General features: G+C 42.3%; 1 long non-coding RNA gene, 2 pseudogenes, 2 gene segments (V, D, J or C) and 1 further gene; 1 reads left to right on the forward strand and 5 right to left on the reverse strand.

The window, feature by feature from the left end:
• Nucleotides 1-27,601, reverse strand: part of IGH (immunoglobulin heavy locus) — a 1,293,408-nt gene that overhangs the window by 808,439 nt on the left and 457,368 nt on the right.
• On the reverse strand, nucleotides 1,790-2,239 carry IGHV3-37 (immunoglobulin heavy variable 3-37 (pseudogene); annotated as a pseudogene). The gene is given in 2 exon segments: nucleotides 1,790-2,094; nucleotides 2,194-2,239. Coding segments are annotated over 2 exon segments (351 nt in total).
• LOC124903400 (uncharacterized) overlaps nucleotides 6,650-27,601 on the forward strand; it is a 45,163-nt gene continuing 24,211 nt past the window's right edge. Inside the window, exon 1 of the long non-coding RNA XR_007064371.1 lies at nucleotides 6,650-6,827. This is a non-coding gene — a long non-coding RNA (uncharacterized LOC124903400). The remainder of the gene's footprint in view (nucleotides 6,828-27,601) is intronic.
• On the reverse strand, nucleotides 15,619-16,068 carry IGHV3-38 (immunoglobulin heavy variable 3-38 (non-functional)). The segment is given in 2 exon segments: nucleotides 15,619-15,919; nucleotides 16,023-16,068. Coding segments are annotated over 2 exon segments (347 nt in total), but the record flags the coding sequence as incomplete, so codon positions are not given.
• Nucleotides 23,143-23,435, reverse strand: IGHVIII-38-1 (immunoglobulin heavy variable (III)-38-1 (pseudogene); annotated as a pseudogene). The gene is given in 1 exon segment: nucleotides 23,143-23,435. A coding segment is annotated over 1 exon segment (293 nt).
• Nucleotides 26,834-27,272, reverse strand: IGHV4-39 (immunoglobulin heavy variable 4-39). The segment is given in 2 exon segments: nucleotides 26,834-27,143; nucleotides 27,227-27,272. Coding segments are annotated over 2 exon segments (356 nt in total), but the record flags the coding sequence as incomplete, so codon positions are not given.

The following is a 27,601-nucleotide window of genomic DNA, read 5'->3' on the forward strand; positions in this document are numbered from 1 at the left end:
CTACAACTCATTAGCAAAATCATGACAGCCTGATTGTAAAACCATCAGTTTTATACGTAAAAAAAATTAAGAATTGTAGATGTCATGTTAAAGATTCTCCATGTATAATAGTCTGCTTTACGATATACTTGGCTCGGCTATACTTTGTAGTTATTCAAACACTAATCTAAGTGGTGTTGCAAATTTGCTGTCTAGATATTTAACCTGTCATCAGTTGACTCTAGGTTAGGTAGAGTGTCATTCATTACACAGGTGGGCCTGATTCCATCAGAGCAGAACTAAAGATGAAATTCTATGGTGATTCAGCAGCTTCAGCTCTGAGACTTACAGCCTGCACTTATTGAGGGTCAATCTTATGGACATTGTACTTCCCCAGCCATGCCTCAAAACTGTCATCCCCTAAGTCTTACAGAAACGTGATGTGTCCATCTGCAGCTTGTCAAATCTGAATAACAGACAAAAAGAGACTCTAAAGTAAAATGATAATTATTTGAAGATGGACATTGCAATGGGAACATGCATGGGTTCACTCAGGCAGGTAAAGAAAGATAAAGGTTTAAAGAAAAATGAGGAGGGTTACATAAGCTGTTTTGAGACAACTTCTCCGGGATAGAAGAATCAATAACAAGGGTGGCATCAGTCCAATCTTACACAGAGAGCTGCTGGGAAGATTACTCAGAGAAGTAATTCTTTTAAGGTTGTGGGCACCTTTGTGCAAGATTGTGGTTTTAAGAGTCTATTTACGATAGTTCTTGGTATCAGGGATATGAGCATGAGAACATTCCGTCACGGCCTTTCCCAGCTTCATTCAGCAGAGTTTTAACACAAGTGACCCAATTTTGATTCTGACAACTTTCTCAAGTTCTTTCTAACACTATTGTTTCAGAAAGTGACTCTGTGACAGTTTGTACAGCACAGGGTGAATTCCATATTTGTATCTCATTTTGACCAAACAAGCTTGTCCCCTTCAGCTCCCACTGGCCACATCTATTCTGAGATGAGTCTCCACACAATATAGTGGAGGGCCCTGAGCAATGGGAGAGAAGAAAGTCCCATCAGCCTCCCCAGCGTGGCTGCAGGAGCCACAACCTGAGACCCACCTGAGCTCCAAGAAAAGGGCTTGAGCCCTGGAATTTAGACCACAGAGACAACATCTTTCTTTTTTCAGGGAGCAGGAAAAGCAAATGAAAAAGGGACAACTCAAGAAAGAACACAGATTGGGAGCAAAAGCAGCACCAGATCAGTATTGATGCTGATTTGCACACTTTAGTGTCAGGAGAAGGGTCAGATGTGAAACCTGTGAGGTTCTACATGACACTGACCCTGGCTCAGTCTATTTTTTTTAAAATCCATAAAGCCTGTTCTAGTCATGGAATCTCACTGAGGTGTCTGTCCTGGGTCTGATTGGAGAAGACTCACCAGGAACGCCTGAGATTCCTCAGGACTCTGATCCTAGTGACCACAGTTGAGGACTTTTCATCTCTGTGAGTGTGAATCTGCATTTTGTGCATGTGAGAATAGTTAGTTCCTCACATTAAAATGATCTTTTTTAAATACATAGAGATGACACAGAATTCTAAACTTAGAGCGGTTCCCTGGGGAAACTGTCAGAAGAAGTTGAAGTCCCACATCCTGGAAGGAATCCAGCCCCTAATCTCCATGTGCACCTCCTTCTGGGGTTGATTCTGATCAGTGGGTCCTGAGTGCCCCCTGCAGCTGATTTCCCCCCACCCCAGGGTTCCTGCAGGGAGGTTTCTGGCTGGGCTCATACTGATTTCCCCTCACCATGTCTCTCACACAGCCGAGTCCTCATCTCTCAGACTGTTCATTTGCAAGTACAGCATGTTCTTGCCATTGTCTCTAGAGATGGTGAATCTACCCTTCAGTGTCTGCATAGTATAGGCTACCACCACTAGCACTAATGTATGAGACCCATTCCAGCCCCTTTCTTGAAGCCCGGTGGGCCCAGTTCATGTCATTGCTTCTCAAGATGAATCCGCAGGCTGCACATGAGAGTCTCAGGACACCCCCAACCCCACCACAGCTGTACCAAGTCTCCCCCAGACTCTACCAGCTGCACCTCATACTGCACACCTGCAAACACAGAGACATCCTGGTCAGAAACTGCCACACATATCCACTGTTTCTCTAATATCCACTCACGAACAATATCTGTAGTTCTTCATGTATCACCTCTTAAAATAGTAAAAAGGAAAGCCCAGCTCAGCCCAAACAACATGGTGATTCCTCTGTGTTAAGTTCTGATCACCAAGTGAAAACACTTGGGAATCCTGGCACTTGAGCTCGTCTCCCAGAGCTGCACGGTCACGGCTGGGCTGGTTTTCATCATCAGCAGAGGGAGGGAACTATTTGCATATCTCCTACTATATAAAAGTCTCTTGGGCTGGATGTCTGAGGACAGGGCAGGGCACAGAGCATATTAAGTTTTCTGGTGGGTGGTGGGGCTTGAAGACAATGATAGTATTTGGAAAAAAATGTAATTTCTTATTAAAAGATTGTGCTATAGTAAACACTTAACATACATCATCTTAACACATGAAAATACATTGTTAGAGGCAGATGCCCATTGGTCCTCCATTTACAGATGAGAATGTAAACGCAGAAGCATGAGGGAGCTATGAGATGTGTCCAGGAGCTCACATGTGACAAGAATGGGCTCCAGGATCGAGGCCTGTGCTCCTCTCCACCGGATCCCACTGCTCCCTTAACCAACTTTAGCCCAGAGTTACACACACCTGGTGTGGTTTGAAGAAACCCTTCTTGTAATAAAAACATTAAAAAAATCTGCTGCATTTTAGAATTACCAAAAAATAAAGATAGAGCTAAGGGTTATTCATTGTACATTCAGAAATATCTGACTTTTTATGTGATTTATCCATCTCCCTTAAACCGTCCCTAAGAAATTTATACAGGTATTTATTTGTAATAGCTTGAATAATATAAAATTATAATTAACACACAAAATGTACAATTTAGAAATTATTGATGTAACCATAACCATTATTAAGATAGAAAACAGATCAATTACCCTCAACATTTTCTCTTGTTCTCTTGCAACTCCTCCGTCCTCCCTCTTTTCGCTCACCTTTTCTCCATTCAACTCCCAACCTTCATATCACTTTAGTTTCTATTCTGTAGAATGTATAAAAGTGTCATCATACGGGATGTAGTTTTTTTTTTTTGGCTTATTTTACTTATATGTACTTGTGAATTTAGTTCGTTTATGCGTCTATCAAACGTTCATTAATTGTAATGAACAACAGTATTCCAATGATTGATTTTTTTTTGTTTTTTTGAGACGAAGTCTCGCTCTGTCGCCCAGGCTGAGTGCAGTGGCGCAATCTCGGCGATTCTCCTGCCTCAGCCTCCTGAGTAGCTGGGATTACAGGCGCGCACAACCACGCCCGGCTAATTTTTGTATTTTTAGTAGAGACGGAGTTTCACTATGTTGGTCAGGCTGTTCTCAAACTCCTGACCTCATCATCCACCCGCCTCGGCCTCTCAAAGTGCTGGGATTACAGGCGTGAGCCACCGTGCCCGGCTGAATTTGTTAAATTCGGTGTTTAATCTGACATCCTTCTGGATTTGCTCACACTGGAACGTAAAAGAAAATAATTTCCAACACTTACGTGTAGCCAAAACAAAACCAAAAATTTCCCGTCTCTAAGCTACACCTACCACTGGATTTTTAACTGACAAAAGATGAGCCTGAGAGAAATCACAAAAGCAGCCAATTCAAGGAAAAGCCATTTATCGTTCTCAGCTGAACTTAAGACCACAGTTACCACGAAGGCAGCTTCTCCACCTCCGGAGCTCAAGCGATCCGCCCGCCTCAGCCTCCCAAAGTGCTGGGATTCCAGGCCTGAGCCCCGCGCCAGGCCAGCGAAGGCAACGTCTAAAAAAACTTCTCACCTCCTGTCACCATTTCAGTGACAAATTCCCGAGTTTTCAGAGGACATGCCGAATCCAGCACAAAACACTGACTCTGAGGAGCTCCCGACGCCGCTGGCGCCTCAGCTGGCAGCAGCTGCTCCAAGTTCGAACCCCCGGGCGGTGGCGGAAGGGCCTTCCCGCGGGCGTCGGGCAGCAGCTGCAGCCCTGGGATCGGCCGCGGCGGCTCCGCGTCCTTCCCGGAGGCGCCGGCGCGAGGTCCTCACACCCAGGCGGCTCAGTGGAGGCGCAGCAGCCCAAGGAGCGCCGCCCCCAGCGCCCGCGCCCATCCTGGAGAACTGCATCTGCGCAGGCCCAGAGCGTCCTCCTGGAGCAGGCGAGCCAGGATGGCGCCTCCTCGCTCCCAGCAGGCGCCCCCACGCGGCCCGTGCGGAGCCCAGCAACCAGAGCCGCGCGAGCCTGTGGGGAGCCTGTGGGGAGCCTGTGGAGGCCTGGGCTCCACCGCCTTCCCCACAGCCAGCAGCAGCTTCTGCCGCCCGCCTTCCCCTGGCCAGGTCTTCCTGCAGCTGGCGCCGGAGGCTGCGGAGGGAGGGCCCAAGGGTTCTTTTCAGAAGACTGGCTTTTTATGAATTTTAACACAATATGTACAAGCTGCATTCGTTTAATAATGCTACTTCCGTCATACGCTGGCAACTTAACACCTGAAAAGATTAGATGTTATAAATAGGACTTGTTCATCCTTTATACACAGGATATCCATAGATAAATAAAACAAACACACAGACAGAAGAGATGATCATTAATCTCTCCTCCCGGTGCGCACAGAGGCCTGGAAGTCTGCACTTTCTCCTCCTCTCTCCTCCCCTGAACCAGAGCACAAACGCAATGTGTGTTGATCAAGCAGGGATTTGGCCATCCTCCCCACCCCCCACCAACATCAAAATAAAATAAAACACTGCATATGAATTTTAACAAAAAGACATTTACAAAATTTATTATTTTACCACCTGTAATTTTAACATACATCAGGCACTTCAGAACATCTAGAAAGACTAGATATTTCAAAAGAATACTTAGAATTTCCAATGATGTATACAATAGCGAGGAATAAAATGCACACAAGAAAACAATGACAACGATATGAAAATGTCTTTTATTTTTCTTTTTTTTTTTTAATTATACTTTAAGTTTTAGGGTACATGTGCACATTGTGCAGGTTAGTTACATATGTATACATGTGCCATGCTGGTGTGCTGCACCCACTAACGCATCGTCTAGCATTAGGTATATCTCCCAATGCTATCCCTCCCCCCTCCCCCCACCCCACCACAGTCCCCAGAGTGTGATATTCCCCTTCCTGTGTCCATGTCATCTCATTGTTCAATTCCCACCTATGAGTGAGAATATGCGGTGTTTGGTTTTTTGTTCTTGCGATAGTTTACTGAGAATGATGGTTTCCAATTTCATCCATGTCCCTACAATGAAAATGTCTTTTAAATATGAGCAGCCTGGCATGGAACCCTCTTCCCTTCCTGCCCAGGTCTCCCCTCCATGTCCTCTCACCCACTGAACGAACGTGGACGTGTGGTTACTGTGTCCCTTCCAGGGGTGGTCTAGTAACTCCATTTCAAAATGTCATTTCCAGAAGACACCCCTTTGCTATGATTTGTTTAAAAAGCACACGGTAACTTACGGCCAGGCACGGTGGCTCACACCTGTAATCCCAGCACTTTGAGAGGCCAAGGTGGGTGGCTCACCTGAGGTCAGGAGTTCAAGACCAGCCTGGCCAACGTGGCAAAACCCCATCTCTACTAAAAACTACAAAAATTAGCCAGGCGTGGTGGTGCACACTTGTAATCCAAGCTACTCGGGAGGCTGAGGCAGCACAATTGTTGAAACTCAGGAAGCAGAGGTTGCAGTGAGCCAAGATCCTGCCACTGCACTCCAGCCTGGGCGACAGAGTGAGACTCCGTCTCAAAAACAAAAAACAAAAAAACGAAAAAAAACGGAAAACAAAAGACAAGCACATGGTAACTTACAAGACATGTAATTGTCTGACTCTGTCATACATTTGGGAACCTCCTTACATCTAGGCGGATTAGATGCAGCAAATGTTTTCTTTTAAAAGGTCAGGGAAAGGTCGAGAGCAGCTTTTTCATGTGTTACGCACAGGCCTTCTAGAAAGGGCTGGTAAAGTGTGGTGGGCATGTCCAGTGGGACAAACTTGGAAGGTTCTTCTCTGTTTCTCCCCATCCATGTCAAGGTCTTGTAGAAGAACGATCACCATCCGGTGGCCGCTACCCGTTCCCCACATCGTCTTCCAGGACTCTACTAACATTTCTTGCCCTAAGGCCGTTGAACCTTGCCAGGACTGGCAGGGTCCCTTCCAACATGGACAGGAGTCATCCCAGGATTCGGAGCTTCGGGGCTGCATGGCCTGAAGAGAAGGCGGATCTAAGTCCTAGACCCCGCTTCCTGGCGACCCCACGCGTCCCCGGAACTCCCACGTCCCAGCTGCCCCCTCGCATCCCTGGACCTCCCACAACCCGCCAGCCCCCGCGCGTCCCGGACCACCTGCATCTCAGCTGCCCCCGCGCCTCTCCAGACCGCCCACGTCCCAGCTGCCCCCTGGCATCTCCGGATCGCCGACGTCCCGCCATCCCCCGCGCGTCCCCGGACCGCCCACGTCCCATCAGCCCCGCGCCTCCCGGACCGCCCACTTCCCGACAGTCCCCGCGCATCTCTGTGGCAGCTGCCCCGGTGCTTCCCGCCGCGCCGCGCCCGCCCACCCAACGGCGCTGTGTCCCGGTAGCTCAGCGCGGACTTCCTTTATGTGGTACAGGGTTGGGCCTGGAGACGCGGAGGCCGGCGAGGTCCTGGCTGGGAGAGGCCGCCGCTGCCTTCAGGTTTCCGAGGTGGGTAGAGAGGTTCCCGCTGCTTTGAGGTCAAGGCTCCTCGGTGGCGGCCACAGCAAAGGCTCCAGTGTCCGCCGCAGGGCAGAGGCCGGGCCTGTCTGGGGACCCCCGACTCATCTGAGGCTCAGGGCGGAGGGTCCAGTGAACTGACCTTGCCCCGCTTCTCACCACGCGCCCAGTGTCACTGTATTCAGCCACCACTGCACAAAGGCGTTACAGCTCTGTGCCCTGAGAAGCCCCTCATTCCCTCAGTGACTCCACAGGGAACACCGGGTGGGCCCCTGGATTCACAGCCCTGTAGCACGCTGCCCAAGGGGCCCCCTTGCTCTCCCACCACCCAGAACACCGAGCCCGTTGTCAAGGCTGAACCATCCGCGGGCAGCTGGGACCAGGGAACATGGTGAGGGGCTCACGGCACCTGGCGTGCAGATCCCAGTAGCTGGATGCGGTTCTGCTAATCACTAACAGGCTTGCAGGCTTCCCCAGGAATCCACCCATAAACTTCACAGAACACTGTGTCTGTGAACCACCCAGTATGTGCATTCAGTTTCTAACGTCACTCTGGTCCGGAATCTGCCACCTGCAGGATCCAATTAACAAGAGAGAGATCTGGTACAAAAATTATTGTATTAACCATAATGGTAAAGGGGAAGTGAACGCATTCCCATCCCAAGCAACCACTTCAATTTTGAAGGAAAGGCAGGGGTTTAAAAAAGGGAAAGTTGGTAAGAAAGGCATGCAAGATTTGGGCTGAGAACCAGGTCTGTGCGTCTTGTTCTGGCAGCTCTCTGGCATCCCAGTCCACCTGGATCTTGGGCTGGCATCATCTGGGCAATGCCTGGGTTGTTAACTAGCAACATTGAAGTCACCTCTGGAATTCTGCATCAGGGTCTCCCGACTTTGTCTATCTGTCTCAAATTAGCTTCCGGAACTTCCAAAAAGGCACATAGTTCGATGCAAACATAAAGTTAGATTAATGTGAAGGGAATATTTATGGTGAAAGGGAGAATTTCAAGGCATAAGAAAATTGATTCTGCTGTTTGCCTCAAGATTGTATCTTTACACCCAAGAGAGACTGAAAAGTTTAACCTCTCTCTTCTGCCACCATGTATGACTGCCTTGCTTCCCCTTTTTCTTCTGCCATGATTATAAGTTTCCTGAGGCGTCCCAAGCCATGCAGAACTGTTTGGTGTGGAGATTCCTGAAGAAGGGTTTTACTTACTACTTGACAGAATTCCCGTTGGTGACGAGGAAATGTCAGAGATCTTTAATTCATGATGATGTTGGATTATTGGCAGTTGGCTCACTAAGGATCCCATGTCCAAGAGCAGGATTCTCCTTCCAAAGTGTGTGTGTGGACTTGAGGAGCAGCCTTTGAAAGATGGGGCTCCTAGACTTTATAGAACCTCCTTTGATTCCTTGGAGGTTTGCAATCTCCAGGTTGTCCGTCATCCAGGACTTTGACTGTTTGTGAGAAAGAGTGCTTCCTTTTGGGTGAAGAACTCTGTATGAATATCGTAGGGCTGCCAAAATGAAATACTACAAACTGGGTGGCTTAAAAATGACAGGACTGTATTGTCTCACAGTTCTAGAGACTAGAAGTCCAAAATCAAGTGTGAGCTGGGCTGCACTCCCTCTGAGACTCAGGAGACTTCTTCCTTGCCCTTTCCTCACTTGTGGAGGTGACTGGTAATCCTGGACATGCATTGGTTTACTGCTGCACCACTCTGATCTTTGCCTCTGCTGTCATATGGCACACTGTATGTCTCTGTCTCTGTGTCCAAATTTCCTTGTACTTAGAAAGACACCCATCTTCCCACATTGAGGGCCTGCCCTGCTCAAGTAAGACCTCATCTTCACTAATAACATCTCCAGCTACCATATTTCCAAATAAGGACGTGTTCTGAAGTGCTGGTTGTCAGGACTTTGACATATCATTTGGGTACACAGTTTAATACATGACGAACCCCGTTACAGAGCTACCATGTCTAGTGTCTTACACATTTTGTTTGGAGGGGGAGGGTAAAAATAACAATGGACTCCTGTGTGTTCTCTGACGATAGCAATACGAATAGCTACCACGTAATGCCTACTAGTTGTTAGGTACTAAATATTAACTAATTTCATTCTTACAACAACCCTACTTTACATATGACAAAACTGGGGTACAGGAAGTAACTGGCCCATTGTCCTTCAGTTAGCAGTGGCAGAGACAGTATACAAAGCCAGACTTCCCAGCTCCAGAGGCCGCATACTTAATACCACCCTGCCTTCTGGACAGTCAGGACAAGCAATTATGCCTATGGTAAACATACTGTGCTGACAAGTAAGGTTACACTTGAAATGTGGCTTACAATACAAGGTATAGAGATTACAGGCAATTCATGTGTTCTGGTTATTTGTTATTAAGTCTCAATTAGAATGTAAGTGTGAAATTTCAGGTTTCAAGGAGTATGAAAATAATATTAAAACCTCAAAAAATAAGTTTAAAATGCATTTTGAAATTAAGCTGCCTGTATATCATTCCCCACTGTCAAATTCCATTTTGTTTCTATGGAAAACGTGTGTCATAGTCAATCTGGCTACTTCTTAGAAAGGGCATAGCTTGTATATATTGGAAGGGAATCCATTAAACTGGAGTTGGAAATATTCTGGAGTCTCCGGAATTACAGTAGGTGTTTGTTGGAGCATTATGGTGCAAGGACCTAGGAGTTTTTGAGAAGGTCAGTATTACATTCTCACTTAAAGTGCAAGGTACCAATAAAATCCACAGCAACTGAAGATAGCAATGAAGAGTATACCAGCTCTACTATATATGAAAGTCTTCCATGTGTTAGGAAGTCAACTAAACCATGCTGTCGCAGGGTCCTGAGAGAGGGCATCCATCTCTAGCAGAAATATGGGTATCTAATGCTTGCATAGCTTGAGTTATATTGTGGGACTAATCTTGTATATATATGCAACATTCAGGGTTCATTAATACACAAGTGTTACCTTTGGCTGTAGTTGCAATACCTAGGGTCATATAGCTTCATAGTGTCACTTGTCAAATCTGTGAGGTTTCTTCAGTAAGAATGATGATGGTATGGTAGGTGTTGTTAAAGGGACTGGTGGTATGCTTAGCCAGGGCCTCTACTTGCAATTCTAAATCTATGACTGCCACCTGGGGGGAAGAGCTGGCTAGTGGGTGGAATAACTAGGATATCCGTTTATGAGAATAGTGTCTGTCTTTCACACTTTTCCAGTTGACATAAAGAGAAGGCACTTTGGACAGTTACATCCTGGGATAGAAGTTCATATCCAGTTGCTTCGCTTCGTCCAGTTGTAAGGAAAGTAGGGTCAGCCATGAGTGCCACCGGCCTTTGGCTAATCCCAGAAGGAAGAACAGGTTCCACTCTGCAGGCTGGCATTGCTTTGTCATCCCAGCCACATATTAAGGGCTCAGTTACATTGCTGAGGAGGCAACAATTCCATATCATGAGTGACAGTGTAGAGTATGCTGTGGTGTTTCTTCACACATAGCAGTGCTTGACCAATTACTTGGATTCTCACCACTGTCAGCCATCCTACCTCACTGGATATGACATAGCCTATTTTGGGAGTGATATTAATGAAGTGTCTTCTGTTTTTATAATAGATGGAAAAGATGGCTTCTCCCATGGATGGAAAATCATAAGTTCTTAAGTTGGGAGCTTGTATTATGCCAGGGCAGGCCTATAGTGGAAGAAATGGGTGAACTCTTTACAGAACCAACTATGTTTTCTTTTGGAGGGAAGCCACCATCTTCCACCCATTCAGCAAAAAAGATTAGTTTTAATAAGGAGAAATAATGTACTTATAACTATAGAACTCATTAAGAATTTCATATTAGATCGCATTTGTCAATTTGGGCTTTTGTTGCCCTTGATTTTCGTGTTTTAGACATGAAGTCCTTGCCCATGCCTATGTCCTGAATGGTATTGCCTAGGTTTTCTTCTAGGGTTTTTATGGTTTTAGGTCTAACACGTAAGTCTTTAATCCATCTTGAATTAATTTTTGTATAAGGTGTAAGGAAGGGATCCAGTTTCAGCTTTCTACATATGGCTAGCCAGTTTTCCCAGCACCATTTATTAAATAGGGAATCCTTTCCCCATTTATTGTTTTTGTCAGGTTTGTCAAAGATCATATGGTTGTAGATAGGCGGCATTATTTCTGAGGGCTCTGTTCTGTTTCATTGGTCTATATCTCTGTTTTGGTACCGGTACCATGCTGTTTTGGTTACTGTAGCGTTGTGGTATAGTTTGAAATCAGGTAGCGTGATGCCTCCAGCTTTGTTCTTTTGGCTTAGGATTGACTTGGCAATACGGGCTCTTTTTGATTCCATATGAACTTTAAAGTAGGTTTTTCCAATTCTGTGAAGAAAGTCATTGGTAGCTTGATGGGGATGGCATTGAATCTATAAATTACCTTGGGCAGTATGGCCATTTTCACGATATTGATTCTTCCTACCCATGAGCATGGAATATTCTTCCATTTGTTTTTATCCTCTTTTATTTCATTGAGCAGTGGTTTGTAGTTCTCCTTGAAGAGGTCCTTCACATCCCTTGTAAGTTGGATTCCTAGGTATTTTATTCTCTTTGAAGCACTTGTGAATGGGAGTTCACTCATGATTTGGCTGTTTGTCTGTGATTGGTGTGTAAGAATGCTTGTGATTTTTGCACATTGATTTTGTATCCTGAGACTATGCTGAAGTTGCCTATCAGCTTAAGGAGATTTTGGGCTGAGACAATGGGGTTTTCTAGATATAAAATCATGTCATCTGCAAACAGGGACAATATGACTTCTTCTTTTCCTAATTGAATACCCTTTATTTCCTTCTACTGTCTCATTGCCCTGGCCAGAACTTCCAACACTATGTTGAATAGGAGTGGTGAGAGAGGGCAACCCTTTCTTGTGCCAGTTTTCAAAGGGAATGCTTCCAGTTTTTGTCCATTCAGTATGATATTGGCTGTGGGTTTGTCATAGATAGCTCTTATTATTTTAAGATACGTCCCATCAATACCTAATTTTTTGAGAGTTTTTAGCATGAAGGTTGTTGAATTTTGTCAAAGGCCTTTTCTGCATCTATTGAGATAATCATATGATTTTTGTCATTGGTTCTGTTTATATGCTGGATTTTGTTTATTGATTTGAGTATGTTGAACCAAAGAGCTTCTGCACAGCAAAAGAAACTACCATCAGAGTGAACAGGCAACCTACAGAATAGGACAAAATTTTTGCAATCTACTCATCTGACAAAGGGCTAATGTCCAGAATCTACAATGAACTCAAACAAATTTACAAGAAAAAAGCAAACAACCCCATCAAAAAGTGGGCGAAGGATATGAACAGGCACTTCTCAAAAGAAGACATTTATGCAGCCAAAAGACACGTGAAAAAATGCTCATCATCACTGGTCATCAGAGAAATGCAAATCAAAACAACAATGAGATACCATCTCACACCAGTTAGAATGGCAATCATTAAAAAGTCAGGAAACAACAGGTGCTGGAGAGGATGTGGAGAAATAGGAACAGTTTTACACTGTTGGTGGGACTGTAAACTAGTTCAACTATTGTGGAAGGCAGTGTGGCGATTCCTCAGGGATCTAGAACTAGAAATACCATTTGACCCAGCCATCCCATTACTGGGTATATACCCAAAGGATTATAAATCATGCTGCTGTAAAGACACATGCACACGTATGTTTATTGCGGCACTATTCACAATAGCAAAGACTTGGAACCAACCCAAATGTCCAACAATGATAGACTGGATTAGGAAAATGTGGCACATATACACCATGGAATACTATGCAGCCATAAAAAATGATGAGATCATGCCCTTTGTAGGGACATGGATGAAGCTGGAAATCATCATTCTCAGAAGTCTATCACAAGGACAAAAAACCAAACACCGCATGTTCTCACTCATAGGTGGGAATTGAACAATGAGAACACATGGACACAGTAAGTGGAACATCACACACCGGGGCCTGTTGTGGGTTGGGGGGAGGGGAGAGGGATAGCATTAGGAGATATACCTAGTGTTAAATGACAAGTTACTGGGTGCAGCACACCAACATGGCACATGTATACATATGTAACAAACCTGCATGTTGTGCACATGTACTCTAAAATTTAAAGTATATAAAAAAGGATGATTTTCTATATTTCAAATTAAAGTCACAGATAATAAAAGCAGAATTGAACAAGCAGAACTACATCACAACAAAAAGATGCCGCAAAGTGTGGAAAAAATTGCAACCTACAGAATGAGAGAATATAATTATAAGGTGTGCATCTGAAAAAGTGTTAATATCCAAAATATACATGCAGTTTCTACAACTCATTAGCAAAATCATAATTGGGTGATTGTACTGTGGTCAGTTTTACACCTTAAAACATTTAAGAATATAGATCTCATGTTAAAGATTCTTTCCTCTGGGTAATGGTAAGTTTGATGGTACACTTGGTTAGGGTAGACTTTGTAGTTATTCAATCCAACATTAATATAGGTGGTGTTGGCCGGGCACAGTAGCTCACATCTTTAATCCCAGCACTTTGGGAGGCTGAGATCAGGAGTTTGAGACCAGCCTGACCAATATCGTGAAACCTGGTCTCTACTAAAAATACAAAAATTAGCTGGACTTGGTGGCCTGCCCCTGTAATCCCAGCACTTTGGGAGGCTAAGGCAGGTGGGTCACCTGAGGTCAGTAGTTTGAGACCAGCCTGACCAATGTGGTGAAACACCATCTCTACTAAAAATACAAAAATTGGCCGGACATGGTGGTGTGTGCCTGTATTCCCAGATACTGGGAGGAGGCTGAGACAGGAGAACTGCTCGAACTCCGGAGACAGAGGTTGCAGTGAGCCAAGATCACGACATTGCACTCCACCCTGGGTGACAGAGCGAGACTCCGTCTCTCTCTCTCTCCCTCTCTCACTATATATATAGTTATGACTTTACTTAATAGATGATATTAATACTGTCATCAGCTGACTCTAGGTTAGGTAGATTGTCATTGATAAAATGGGTGGGCCTGATTCCATCAGAGCAGAACTGGAGAAAATGAAATTCCACGATGATTCAGCAGCTTCGCCTCTCTCTGGGACCTCCAGTCTGCACTTATTGATGGCTGATCTTATGGACATTGGATATTCCTAGACATCTCCAAAAACTGTCATCCTCTATGTCTCACAGAAAAGTGGCATGTCCGTCTGTAGCTTGTCATGTCAACCTGAATAACAGACAGAGACTCTAAAGTATAATAATATTTTTTCTAGGATGTGCGTTTCAATTAAAATATGTATGGGTACATTCAGGTAGGAAAAGGAAGATAAAGAATTAAGGAGAACATGTGGACACAGGGTGGGAAACATCACACACCGGGGCCTGTAGTGGGGTTGGGGGAAGGGGGATGGACAGCATTAGGAGAAATACCTAATGTAAATGATGAGTTAATGGGGGCAGCAAACCAACATGGCACATGTATACATATGTAACAAACCTGCACTTTGTGCACATGTACCCTAGAACTTAAAGTATAATTTAAAAAATAATAAAAAAGAGAATTAAGGAAAAATGAGGAGGGTGACAGCAGCTATTTTGAGATAGCGGTGTAAGGTTGAATAGGCAGTTGCGGGGCAGATTTACTTGGAGAAATAAAGCTTTTAAGGCTGTGGTGGCCTCTGTGTAAAAGGTTGTGGCTGTGCAGGGTCTATTTATGATAGTTCTTCTTATCAGGAATATGTGTGTTAGAACCCTCCTTCATGGCCTTCCCCAGCTTCATTCATTAGGGTTTTAACACAAGTGGATCCATTTTGATTCTGATAAAGTTCACAAGCTCTTTCTAACACTACTTCTGAAGAAGATGACTCTGACAGTGTGCATAGAACAGGGTTAATTCCACATCCACATCCCATTTTGATCAAATGAGTTTATCCCCTTCACTATTAACGGCCAATTGCATTCCCAGATGAGTCTACACACAACACAGAGGAGGGCCCTGAGAATATGGGGAGAGAAGGAAATCCCATCAGCCTCTCCCACGTGGGCTGGAGTAGCCAAGCCTGAGCCTTGCCTGAGTTCTAAGAAAATGCCTTGAGCCCTGGAGTGTAGAGCATAGAGACCATGTGTTTCTTTTTCAGGAAGAAAGAAAAGCAAATAAAAAAGGGAGAACAAACACTCCAAAGAAAGAACATGTATTGGGAGCAAAAGGAGCACCAGATCAGTGCTGATGCGGATTGGCTTTAGGGTCAGGAGAAGGGTCAGATGTGAACCCTGTGAGCTTCTACAGGACACTGACCCTGGCCCAGGCTCTCTATTGGCTGTGATCAGAATCCCTGCCGTTCTAGTCCAGGAGTCTCCCTGAGGTTTCTGTCCTGGGCCTGAATGGAGGAGACTCATCAGACACCCGTGAGCTTCCTCAGGACTGCGATCCTGGTGACAATGGTTGAGAACTTTTCATCTTTGTAAGCATCAATGTGCATTTGGTACATGAGAGGTTATGTCCTCATATTAAAATGATCTTTTGAAAATATGTAGAGATGACATTAGGAACCACAGAATTCTAAAATTAGGGAGGTTCATTAGAGAAACTGTTGGAAGAAGATGAAGTCCCACATCCTGACAGGAAATCAGCCTCCATCTGCACCTGCCTCCGGGACTGACTCTGATCAGTGGCTCCTGAGCGCCCCCTGCCGCTGATTTCCCCCCAGCGTTCCTGCAGGGAGGTTTGTGTCTGGGCGCACAATGACTTCCCCTCTGTGTATATCTGGCACAGTAATACACGGCCGTGCCCTCAGCTCTCAGGTTGTTCATTTGAAGATACAGCGTGTTCTTGGAATTGTCTCTGGAGATGGTGAATCTGCCCTTCCTGGAGTCTGCGTAGTATGTGCTACCACCACTAATGGATGAGACCCACTCCAGCCCCTTCCCTGGAGCCTGGCGGATCCAGCTCATCTCATTGCTACTGACGGTGAATCCAGAGGCTGCACAGGAGAGTCTCAGGGACCCCCTAGGCTGTACCAAGCCTCCCCCAGACTCCACCAGCTGCACCTCACACTGGACACCTGCAAACACAGAGACACCAAGGTCAGAAACTGCCACACAAACCCACTGTTTTGCTCACTCATGTCCACTCACACTCAACATCTGTAGTTCTCCATGAATCACCTTTTAAAATACCAACAAGGAAAACCCAGCTCAGCACAAACTGCATGATGAGTTGTGTGTGTTCAGTCCTGATCACTGAAGGGAAACACCTGGGAATCCCAAGGCTGGGGCTCCACTCCCAGAGTGCTAAAAAGGGGAAGAGGATTTTCCATGCTAGGTCCCAGGTACCTCCTTGCAAGTGCAGGCATCCTAAACTTGTGCAAGTTTCCAGCTTTCTGATGTTATAGTGCCCCCAGAAAAGGAAAGGAATGTGCTCATTAAGGCCCACTGTTTTTACTAGGGCCCAGTGTATGTATGTGAAGTTTGGTGATTACACCCAGAAACACCCTCTCTGTGGCAGAGTTGCTTATATGTTTTACAGCCTGATCTTTCAGGCTGCTTTTTGTTAGAAGTGATTTCTTTGAACTCTGTGTGAATAGAAAATAAGTAATTGCCAAGCTGATTTTTGTTAGAAGAAATGTTTTTGCCAGAAATTCTGTCATCCTAACTATCTACCAAAATAATTTCTTTCTATCTCCTGTAACACCAGTTTGACTCTTCCATTTAGCTTGGTGATTTTGCGGTCTCAAGACTTATTTTCCTTTCACAGTAGGCAGGTATAAAAGAGTTTTTGTATATAATTAAGTTGCTTACATTTGTCCGTTTTCATGCTGCTATAAGGACATACCTGAGGCTGGGTAAATTATAAAGAAAAAAGGTTTAATTGTCTTACAGTTCTGCGTGGCTGAGAAAGCCACAAGAAATTTACAATCATGATGGAAGGGGTAGCAAACACGTGCTTCTTCACATGGCTGCAAGAGAGAAGTGCCAAGGGAAGAGGGAGGCCCCTTATACAACCATCAGATCTTGTGAGAATAACAGGAGAACAGCATGGAGAAAACAGCCTCCATGATTCAATTATTCCCACCTTTTTCCACTTGACATGTGGGAATTATTACAATCCAAGATGAGATTGGGGTGGGGACACAGAGCCAAATCATGTCATTGATTTTATTTTCTTTAGAGTATAAGATGTCTAGCTATAAGAAAGCACAGTTTAACTTCTGGTAATTTTAAATCAGGAAAAATATTTTGGAGGCTTCTGCAAATATAAATTTTTATAGAAACTAATATAAATTGTAGAAACTAATATAAATTGTAGAAAATAATATAAATTGAAAAACAAGTGGACAAGGTTAGAATCTAATAACAGATGCACTGTTGTTTATTTTGAAACAGTATTTCTCTCTATAATTCCCCAAAGTTATTAGAGACACAATCATAGTAGGGCAAATTTATTTGTAATATAAGTTTTAGGCTTAATTTTTTTGTATAAGATGAGGCAAAAATAGTAATTTAACATATTAGCTCTCTTTTTTTCTATTTTTTGTACATAGGCTATTTAATTCATAAATTGACCTTGCTGGAAATTTTTTATAAGAAATCTAAGGGTAGAATCTTTAAAAGCATCAAGCCCAGACATTGTTTCATCTGTGCCTTCAGACAGCTATATGAATTGGGTTACTTCTTCTTTTTTCAATTTTCCAAGACAACTTGGGATTCCTGGGTCTGTCAGAAAGTAAAATTATTGACTTACTACAGCTCAGGGCCCTGAACAAAACAGGTTACATGCCAGTTTTCCCAAGGGGCTTTTATCAGCTATCCAGCTTAAATTCATTTTATAAAGTAAATATGAAAATATGTCATTCAAGTTAAAGTCTTGGTAAAATGATCATTGTCTCCAATTGTGCCCTGTTACGGAAGAAAGCAGATTTATATTGAACCTATGTGAATTAATATTTTGATATAACAATACTCACAGTTTCCAAATTTTGGAGAAATTATGTAGAGAAGAAGAAATTGTGTTTTTGAATTTTCTCACTAGAATATACTATACTCAATTGTTAAAAACAATGAATAGCTTAAGAGAATTTTTTTTTTGATTCTGAAAAACAAAATGTAAGTAATTAGCAAATGCTTTAAAGAATAAGCCATAAAATTTATTTCAGGCTCCTGTTAGTTCAGTTCATGCAATTAAGTCCTGTCCTGTTTGACATTATATTAACAACCATCATAAATGCATCAGGTCTCCATGAGAGTCTTGGAAGTTTTTCTCTGTATATAAATGGCACAATTTATAAAATTGTCACAATTGTGTATTTAAGAGTACCCCTCAAAATTCTATAGATTATTATAAGCCACCTGATAAAGAATCAAAGGAAAACAATTGTGGATGGCTGAAGTTTTAGAATAGCCACGGTTAAAGACAGAATTGAGGAGAAAGTTTGGTTATTTCTGTGATGAACAAAAATTTTATATAATAATCATAAGTACTACTGACAAAATATACTGACATATCAAAGTCAATTGAACCTCATACCATTTTAGAACATGTACTCTTTAATTTATATGAATATACTCCAATTATATAGTCCACATTTATATAAATATAGTCCAAAGTTAAACACCATTTCAAATTTGACATTGCTTCCAGTATAATTTAATTGTACCAAAGAAGCTAAATATGTTTCTTTTTGGCTTCAGGAGATCAAATATCAAAAAAGAATAATGAGGTCAAATGACTGAATTTAGACTTTTATTTTGTGAAGGAGGTCAAATATCAAAGGTTTATTTAGAACACTTGATATTACAAAATGGAATTACAGATTATTGTAAAGTAAGTTATTTATTTAGCCAAGTGAAAACTCAGTGATTTCTTAAAAAAGCAAAAACTTTTATTTTTGAAAGAATTAATTTTCTAAACAATAACCCCTTATAAGAACATCATGAGAAAAATTAAAACTATCTCTCAATTCTGAGAAATAAGTCTATTAAATTATAACTACTTTTACCATAAAATATAATTTTCATAGGTCTTTTATAAATTTTAATAATTTTTTAAGCTAAAGAGTGGATTACTTCTTCAAGAAACCCTTGTCAATCTGTCACAGGGGCCCAGATGCTAGACTTCCATTAGTGTGCATTTAATATTAATGCTTAACTTATAAAGAAACTCTCAAGTAATATTATATCTCAAAATTAGCTTTTACAATCTTACAAATCCACTTCTGTAATAGTCCCTGGGCCTGGAGTTGTTGAGTAGTTTCAATTTCTGGCCTTATGTCTTAAGAGTATGATGAATTTTTATTGTCATTTTCTTCCAGGTCTGTAGATGGGGCTTTAATTACTGTCAGTGTTTAAGATTTAGCAGGACTTAGTGTCCTTTTTCTCTTATTTATATATTTTTTCTGAGATGGAATATTGCTCTATCACCCAGGCTGGAGTTCAGTGGCACAATCTTGGCTCACTGCAATCTCTGTCTCCCAGGTTCAAGCAATTCTCCCTGCCTCAGGCTTCCAAGTAGCTGGGATTACAGGCATCCACCACCATGCCTGGGTAATTTTTGTATTTCTTATAAAGACAGGGTTTCGCCATGTTGGCCAGGCTGGTCTCAAACTCCTGACCTCAGGTGATCTGCCTGCCTTAGTCTCCCAAAATGCTGTGTGTCCTTTTTAGACCTAGGAGTCAAAGGTCAGTAATGTGGCAGCACAAGGCCTTTAAAAGTAATGTAGATAGCTACATGAATGTAATAACATTAATTTATATTTTCTTAAAATCTCAGTAAGTTGGAAACCTTAATAACAGTAACATAGGAATTATTTCAATAAAATATAAAATTTGTTTTATGCCAGTTACCAAATAGCAAAGCAAAACCTTTTACAGTGTGATTGCTTTTCCCTATTGGAAAATGCATGTAGATAACCTGCAGGTCAACTCTAATGAAAAAAGCATTTGAATTAATTAGACATACCAAGAATGTGACTCAGATTACACGTGAAGACTTTGGTTTCATAGAAAAATGTAGACATTTAAAGATAAGCCAAGAGTGTAGAATGTTATATTGAAAGAAAACATTTTATTTAGAACTTAAAGATAAAATGTTTTTAGCATCAGACAATAATAGCAGTTAAAAGCTAACAACAGTTAGAAGTTAAGTCAGTAAGAAGCTAATCGCTGTAAGAAAAAAAATGTTAAAGGACGTGATGAAAAAATGGAGAGCCTCTCAAGTCTTCTCAAAGGGAAAAAATCAAAATGGCAAGATGCAATAAAAGTTAAATTTGGGGGTTAAAAAATTAAAATATCTTATAATTTTATTTAGTAAATCAACACTTTAAGACAATTTTGTCATTCTAACCAGTCTTCAGTGTATTACTATATTTTATATAAAAGCCAGATCTCTATAAAGACTATTATAAATACTTCCCTTTCAATTATAGTCAACTTGATAATATGAAGGTTTTTTAATAAATTAACTTTTTATAAATCTTATTTTCACTTACACAAACCATTTATGGCATAGTTGAACATCTTGTTTTATTCTAAACGTCATTCTTTCTTAGTCATTTTATTTTAGGATAAAAAATTACCATGCAAGATTATTTCTCATATAAAATTTTTTTATTTTAACCTTTCTTACCAAAAGTACTTCTCTATGTCAATAAATTTCTTTAAAACTCTCTTACTTTTTATGATGTTATATAAATAACTTTGAATTACATTATTTTTCTAAGAATAATTTTTTAAGAAAAATATTTTCTTATATATTTTTTAAAACAATTAGTAATGACCTAAACATTTAGTCAATATCTATTATTTAATTAAACTTTAGATTTTTAAATTGTAGAACAAGTTTATTTAAAAGGTTTATTTGATTACATTTCCCTATTTTATTTAAGTAGCTTATCTAGATTACTTATGAAAATTGTAATTCATCCTTTAAAGTTTTTTCTCTGTTAACCATGTTATAACCCATGAATTTCAGGTGCTTGCCTGAGTAAAAACCTTATAATTAAGCAAATAATTGTTTTTCTAATAACTATTTACCTGTTTTTTATTAAAACAACAATATTAAACATCATATTTGTCAAAAAATTACAAAGATCATTCTGGTTTTAATGAGGTTTATAATTTTTTTTTTTGAGACGGAGTCTCGCTCTGTCATCCAGGCTGCAGTACAGTGGTGCGATCTCAGCTCACTGCAAGCTCCACCTCTGGGGTTCAAGCATTCTCCTGCCTCAGCCTCCAGAGTAGCTGGGATTACAGGCGCCTGCCAGCATGCCCAGCTAATTTTTTTTTTCTTTTTGTATTTTTAGTAGAGATGGGGTTTCACCATGTTAGCCAGGATGGTCTCAATCTCCTCACCTCGTGATCCACCCACCTCAGCCTTCCAAAGAGCTGGGATTACAGGTGTGAGCCACCGCATATGGCCAACGAGGTTAATAATTTTATAATCATCATAAAAAATTTTGACACCATATAATATCTAGCTGTGATTTTAAATATAAAATCACTTGATGAATTAATATAAACTATAAGGTATGCTGATAATTGTTAAAATATCTCTAATTTGTTTTTACCAATAATTTTAAAGCCAACTTATTTATTAAATATTTATTTAAGTCACATGTACTTCAAATGCATTGGGCTCATTTACTTAATTTGAAAATATTTATTTCAAAGCCAATTTTGTACCTAGTAGCCACAACACACACACACACACACACACACACACACACACATATATATACATGCACATATTAACACATCTACGCATACACACACTAATACAAAGATACTAGAGCTTTTACTTTGAAACTCTAGCTATGGAATATGTATAGAAACTCAGCAGTCATTTACAAAAAAAAGTTTAGATGTAAACAGTGGTTATCTTAAAACCAGTTGAAAAGCCCTGTAAACTGGAAAACAGAATATTTTTAAGCAAAAAAAAAAAAAAATCCTCATCTTTCTTTATAAACCTCACCAAAAGCTAATTATACTCTTTTACTATTCTAATTCTTAGTAACCCTAATTCAAGTGAGAAACCTAGGATTACTTAATTTAACATGACATGACTAAGATTTTAAATTACTGAAGATAGTTATGAGACTAAATTTGACAAATCAATATTTGTAAAGTAATGTAAAATTTAAAGCTGACTCTAAAAAACAGATGTACATTTTCTTTACAAAGTGTTGCATTAAACAGAATTAACTTGATTGGTGGTCTTTGAAACACAGCTTAATTAGATTACTGGACTTAGAGTGGAGCCATTTAAGAAAAAGGGCCAAGAAAACATGCAGTTTTTAGGGCATAAACTACAATTGTTTATGCAAATGTGCAAAGAAATGAGTAGCCTTCTATAGTGATGATCATTTTCTGCTAACTGCCCTCAGCCACCCCTAACGTAGCTTTCAAAGCCACCCCTAACATTGGAGCTTTCATTCACTATTGCACACACCACGAATGAATCCTCTCACAGTACAACGTAATTCTGGTAGCATCCAAAGCCAAAAACATTACATAATCCAAGAAAGCAGAGCTTTGTACATGAGAAGAATCTGCAAATGATTCTTGAAACCACAAAGGAAGCAGGAAAACTCCCAAAAGGTTAGTGGCAAGATCCAAAAGGAACCGCCCTCCCTGCCCGGATCCAGGGACCTGATGTGGAGCTGCCTCCTAAGGGAGCGGTGGTGTCCTCAGTGCTCCCTGGTGGTTCTGAGCGAACACTGGTTTACTGAGCTCACCCTGGTGTCCTGAGAGCTCCCTGTTGTCCTGAGTGCCCCCTGGAGGATCTGAGTGCCCCCTGGTGTTCTGATCGCTCTCTGGTGTCCTGAGTGCTTCCTGGTGTTCTGAACATCCCCTGGTGGTCCTGAGGGCCGGTCATGTCCTGAGCACCCCCTGGTGGTTCTCAGCGCCCCCTGGTGGTTCTGAAGTCCCTCTGGTGTCCTGATTGCCCCCTGATGGTTCTGAGCGCCCCCTAGTGTCCTGAGTGCGCCCTCCTGTCTTGAGAGACCTGGTGGTCCTGGGCGCCCCCTAGTGGTTCTGAGCCCCCTAGTGTCCTGAGCGCCCCCTGGTGGTTATGAGCTCCCGCTGGGATCTTGAGCGCCCCTTGGTGGTTCTGAGCACCTGCCAGTTTCCTGAGTGCCCCCTGGTGATTCTGAGCTCTCCTTGGTGGTTCTGAGTGCCTACTGGTGTCCTGAATGCCCCCTGGTGGTTCTGAGCAGCAACTAACATGCAGTCCCCTCCTGTCTCCCTGCAGGGACTTTTGTGTCTGTGCTCACATAGATGTCCCCACACTGTGTCCCTCACAGTAATACACAGACTTGTCTTGGGCTCTCAGTTTTATTATCTTAAAAGAGAATCTTCTGAACAGTGTCTCTGAGGACTGTTAATCTTCTTTGTACTGAAGGCGAGTCCCATTGAGAACTTCCACTTGAATTACTGTTATCTCCCTCACCAACACTTGCCATGAATCCTGCTGGACCAAACTTGTTCTTTTTTCAGTGAATCCAGGGGCTTTGCAGAACAGTCTGAGAATTCTTGGTCTGTAGTATTTTCCTGTCTGACTCCACTAGTTAACTTCACAGAGGACTTCTGCACACACAGAGGCAACAGACTGAGAACAGCCCCACGTGGAGCAGCCACAGCTGAGCCTGATCCACGGGGAAGTTGAATATTGAGAGTGATGACAAGAGAAGCTCAGATCAGCACAGACCCCATGGTCATGAGTACATAGTTTCTACCTCCCTTACCTGTGAGTCCTGGCACAATCTATCATCCTCTAAAACCTAGGGGCCACTAAGAACAGACAGAAGTTTGAATCCTATCAAGTTTTGAGAGACCCACAATTACTGTCTGGGCTGATTGGTGAGGGTGATCTCTATGAGCCTAGTCTTTGAAGAAGTATATGATGGCTTTTGTTATAAAGAACAGATAACAACAAAGACAGTCAAGGAAAATGAAGAAGCAGGGGAACATGGTCCAAACAGAAGAACAACCAAAAGGTCCATAAACTGACATCAATGAAAAGGAAGAACATGGATTACCTGACAGAAACTTTAAAGTAAATGTTAGAAACATGTTCAATGAGCTAGTGGCAGCATGCAAGAACAATGTGAGAATTTTAATAAAGATAAAACATTTAAAAGATGACTAAACAAAAATATTGATCCTGAAGAATACAGCCAAAAATTTTAACAAGATTTTAGACCAAACTAGATCAAGTAATAGAAGAAACAGTAAACTCAAAGAAAGATCATTTGAAATAGTAGAGACAGAGAAGAAAAATTTAAGTGAAAGAAATAAAAAAGAGTTCAAGACTTATGGGCCAGGAAAGACACTAAACACTCAACTACGCATTTGAGGAGTTATACAAAGACAAGACAAAAGGGGTAGTGAAGGGAGAGAGGGGGAGAGAGAGAGAGAGAGAGAGAGAGAGAGAGAGAGAGAGAGAGGGAGAGAGAGAGAGAGAGAGAGAGAGAGAGAGAGAGAGAGAGAGAAGAGATAAATTATTCAAAATAATAGCAAAAAATATTTCCAAATTTGGAGAAGGGAAGCAAATATTCATCCACAATGAAGAAGCTCTATAAATTTTACGTAAGATAAACCCAATGACAAAAAATGTGACACAGTTTAAAACCACATTGCTGGAAATAAAAGAGGCTTTAGAAAACAGAAAGAAAAGGAACAGATTTCTCAGCAGAAGGTTTTCAGTTCAGAAGGCACAGGGATTGTATTCAATGGTGTGTGGTTTATTGACAGAGGTTCTTTTTGAGAAATGTGTCCCTGGGCAATTTCATCATTGTGCAAGCATCAAGGGTGAATTTTCACAAACCTACAAGGAATACCCTACTACACACAGGGTATGTGGATTAGCGCAGGGTTCCCAGACAACTAACCTGTACAGCGTGTTACTGCACTGAACACTGCAGGAAATGGAAACACCATGGTAAGTATCTCTCTATCTAAACACATCAAAACATGGAAAAAGTTTAGTGAAAATATGGTATTACAACATTATGTGGCCACAAACATATATGTGGTCTACTGTTGACTGCAGCATTGTTACGTAACACATGACTTTACTCAAATTGACGTGGGTTGGGGGGGACTAAAAATAAATAAAACCCTGCCAAGACGAATCTTTACCATGTAAATCCTTTTCAGAAATGAAGATTAGATTAGAACTTTCCCAGACAAAAACTAAAGGAGTTCTTCACTGCTGGACCTGCCTTAAACACCAAAGGGTCTCAACTAGGTCTGCAGAATAATGATGTAGCTGCATCAGCTCCATTCTGGCCTCTGCCATGTGACAGTTTTTTGTGGATTTGCTTTCTACACCCTCATGGCTTTTTTCTGTCTAAACTTCTAAATTCATTCTCCTTTTAATTTGCAGTTTATTGAAAATATTCATATTTAGCTTAGAACATTAAAAAACTTTGGAAAAAATTTCATCTTAAACCCACCAAGTCTAATTAACTCTCTTCAGGGATGCCCCTTTTTTTCTTGTTTTCCTATAGGATATGGCCCTTGTTTCTATCTCAGTTCAGTCCTTGTTTTCGTATGCATGAGGTATCCAACCATCACATGCCCAGGAACACCTTGGAGGAACGTACCCTATCATCCACCCCTTCAGCCTTCATGTGCACAGGGGCCATTCTTTCAGCTGTTGTATGCTTTAGGATTTTCCATTCAAAAGTGTTTTTCAATAGCCCCCCAAAGAAAGTCCTTGGACCTTAAAACATGATGTGGTGTTGGGGGCATTGACAGCTAAATTTCACTGAAAGTATCTTCTATGCTTGGTAATTGGGGAAGACTGGGAAGAAGGTAACAAAACTCAGACCCCATGTAGCTCCTCATTTAGCAATAGATTCAGTACAAATTTAGAAAGTTGAAGACATAGAGTAATGTTGCTGTGGTTTTCTGTGATATAATAAGGAGACAGCAGAAGATGGTCAGTGGTCAGTTTCCATCCAGCTGGTACTCATTGTCAATTAATTAAGTCCTAATAAAGGATAAAATGCAACATTTGTGACAAAGCCCCAGGGCTTGTTTAAAAGACCTTGTCCCAACAGGGACGTGACAGTTTTTATATGAGAGCTACTGTTTTTGCCTAATTCATGTGAAAATCTGAGCGATGTGCCCAGCTTCAGGGGGCTGCTTCTCCCTCCAGGAGATGGAGCTAACAGAGTTGTGTGGTATTAGCCTGTCTGGGTCTTCGTAAGAAGACAAAAGGAGTGGGTGGCTTAAACAACAAATATTGATTTTCTTACAATTCTGCAGTCTGAATGTAGAAGATCAAGGTGCTGGCAGGGTTGGTTCTTGGTGCGGCTTCTTCCTGGCTTGCAGAGGCCCACCTTCTAGTGCACTATGTCTCCACGTGGCCTCTTCTCTGAGTGCATGTGAGAAGTGAGAGGTATCTGGTGTCTCTTCCTCTTCTTATAAAGACAACAGCTCTATTGCATTAGGGTCTCATTTATGACCACATTTAACATTAATTATACCATTAAAATTCCGATATAGATCCATTGGATTTAAAGTTTCAGCATATGAATTTCAAAAAGGGCACAATTAAATTGATGACACAAATCAAGAGATGGTGAGAAGCATTAGAATATATACATATATAAATAAGGTATAATGGGCTGTGCAGGTACTTGCAGGAAAGTTCTTAGTAATTGGTGAAACTTCAATTGTAACAGGAAAATTTGCCTTACTCCTTTCTTTCCTGGCACAAGGATGTGAGGAAGTAGAACCACACACAATAAAGAAAGAGGACCTCTACGGAAAGCTGAGGTGCTGGCGAGGAGGGAGATGATGATCTCTGAGAAGATGAGCAAGCCCCGCTCACCCTGCACCTGCTCCTGACCCGGCCTTGTATTCCGTGAGCTCCGCACGCCCCCTGCTGGCCCTGAGCTGCACCTGCGCCCGCCCCCTCAGCCTCCCTGCAGGGAGGTTTTTGTCTGGGCTCACACTCACCTCCCCTCACTGTGTGTCTCGCACAGTAATACACAGCCGTGTCTGCGGCGGTCACAGAGCTCAGCTTCAGGGAGAACTGGTTCTTGGACGTGTCTACGGATATGGTGACTCGACTCTTGAGGGACGGGTTGTAGTAGGTGCTCCCACTATAATAGATACTCCCAATCCACTCCAGCCCCTTCCCTGGGGGCTGGCGGATCCAGCCCCAGTAGTAACTACTACTGCTGATGGAGCCACCAGAGACAGTGCAGGTGAGGGACAGGGTCTCCGAAGGCTTCACCAGTCCTGGGCCCGACTCCTGCAGCTGCAGCTGGGACAGGACCCCTGTGAACAGAAAAACCCACAGTGAGCCCTGGGATCAGAGGCAGCCTCCCATATCTCCATGTCTGCATCCTAGAAACACTCACATCTGGGAGCCGCCACCAGCAGGAGGAAGAACCACAGGTGCTTCATTTTCTTGCACATGAGATCCATGACTCTCAGAAAGCATTTCCCTTATGAGTTGGACCTGAATTTAAGGAAATGTGTGGTGGCTTCCTGTGGGCGCCTAAGTGAGGATTTGCATGGGGGTGGTGCGTTTGTACGGAGCAGTGAAAAGGGATGAGAGAGGCGCCAGTCTTTTGAGCTCACCCTGGGAGGAGAATGCTGGCTGTGCCCTTTGAGAACTCAGTTCTCTTCTTGGGGCCTCCCCTCTCCAAGCCCAGAGTCCTCTTCTTCCAGGTAAAGAGATGTGCTGAAGGAGCTGGTCTGAGAGATGAGTGTGATCCTGGATCAAGGACAGA

This window comes from Homo sapiens, chromosome 14, assembly GCF_000001405.40.
Source record: "Homo sapiens chromosome 14, GRCh38.p14 Primary Assembly".
Classification (NCBI taxonomy): domain Eukaryota; kingdom Metazoa; phylum Chordata; class Mammalia; order Primates; family Hominidae; genus Homo; species Homo sapiens.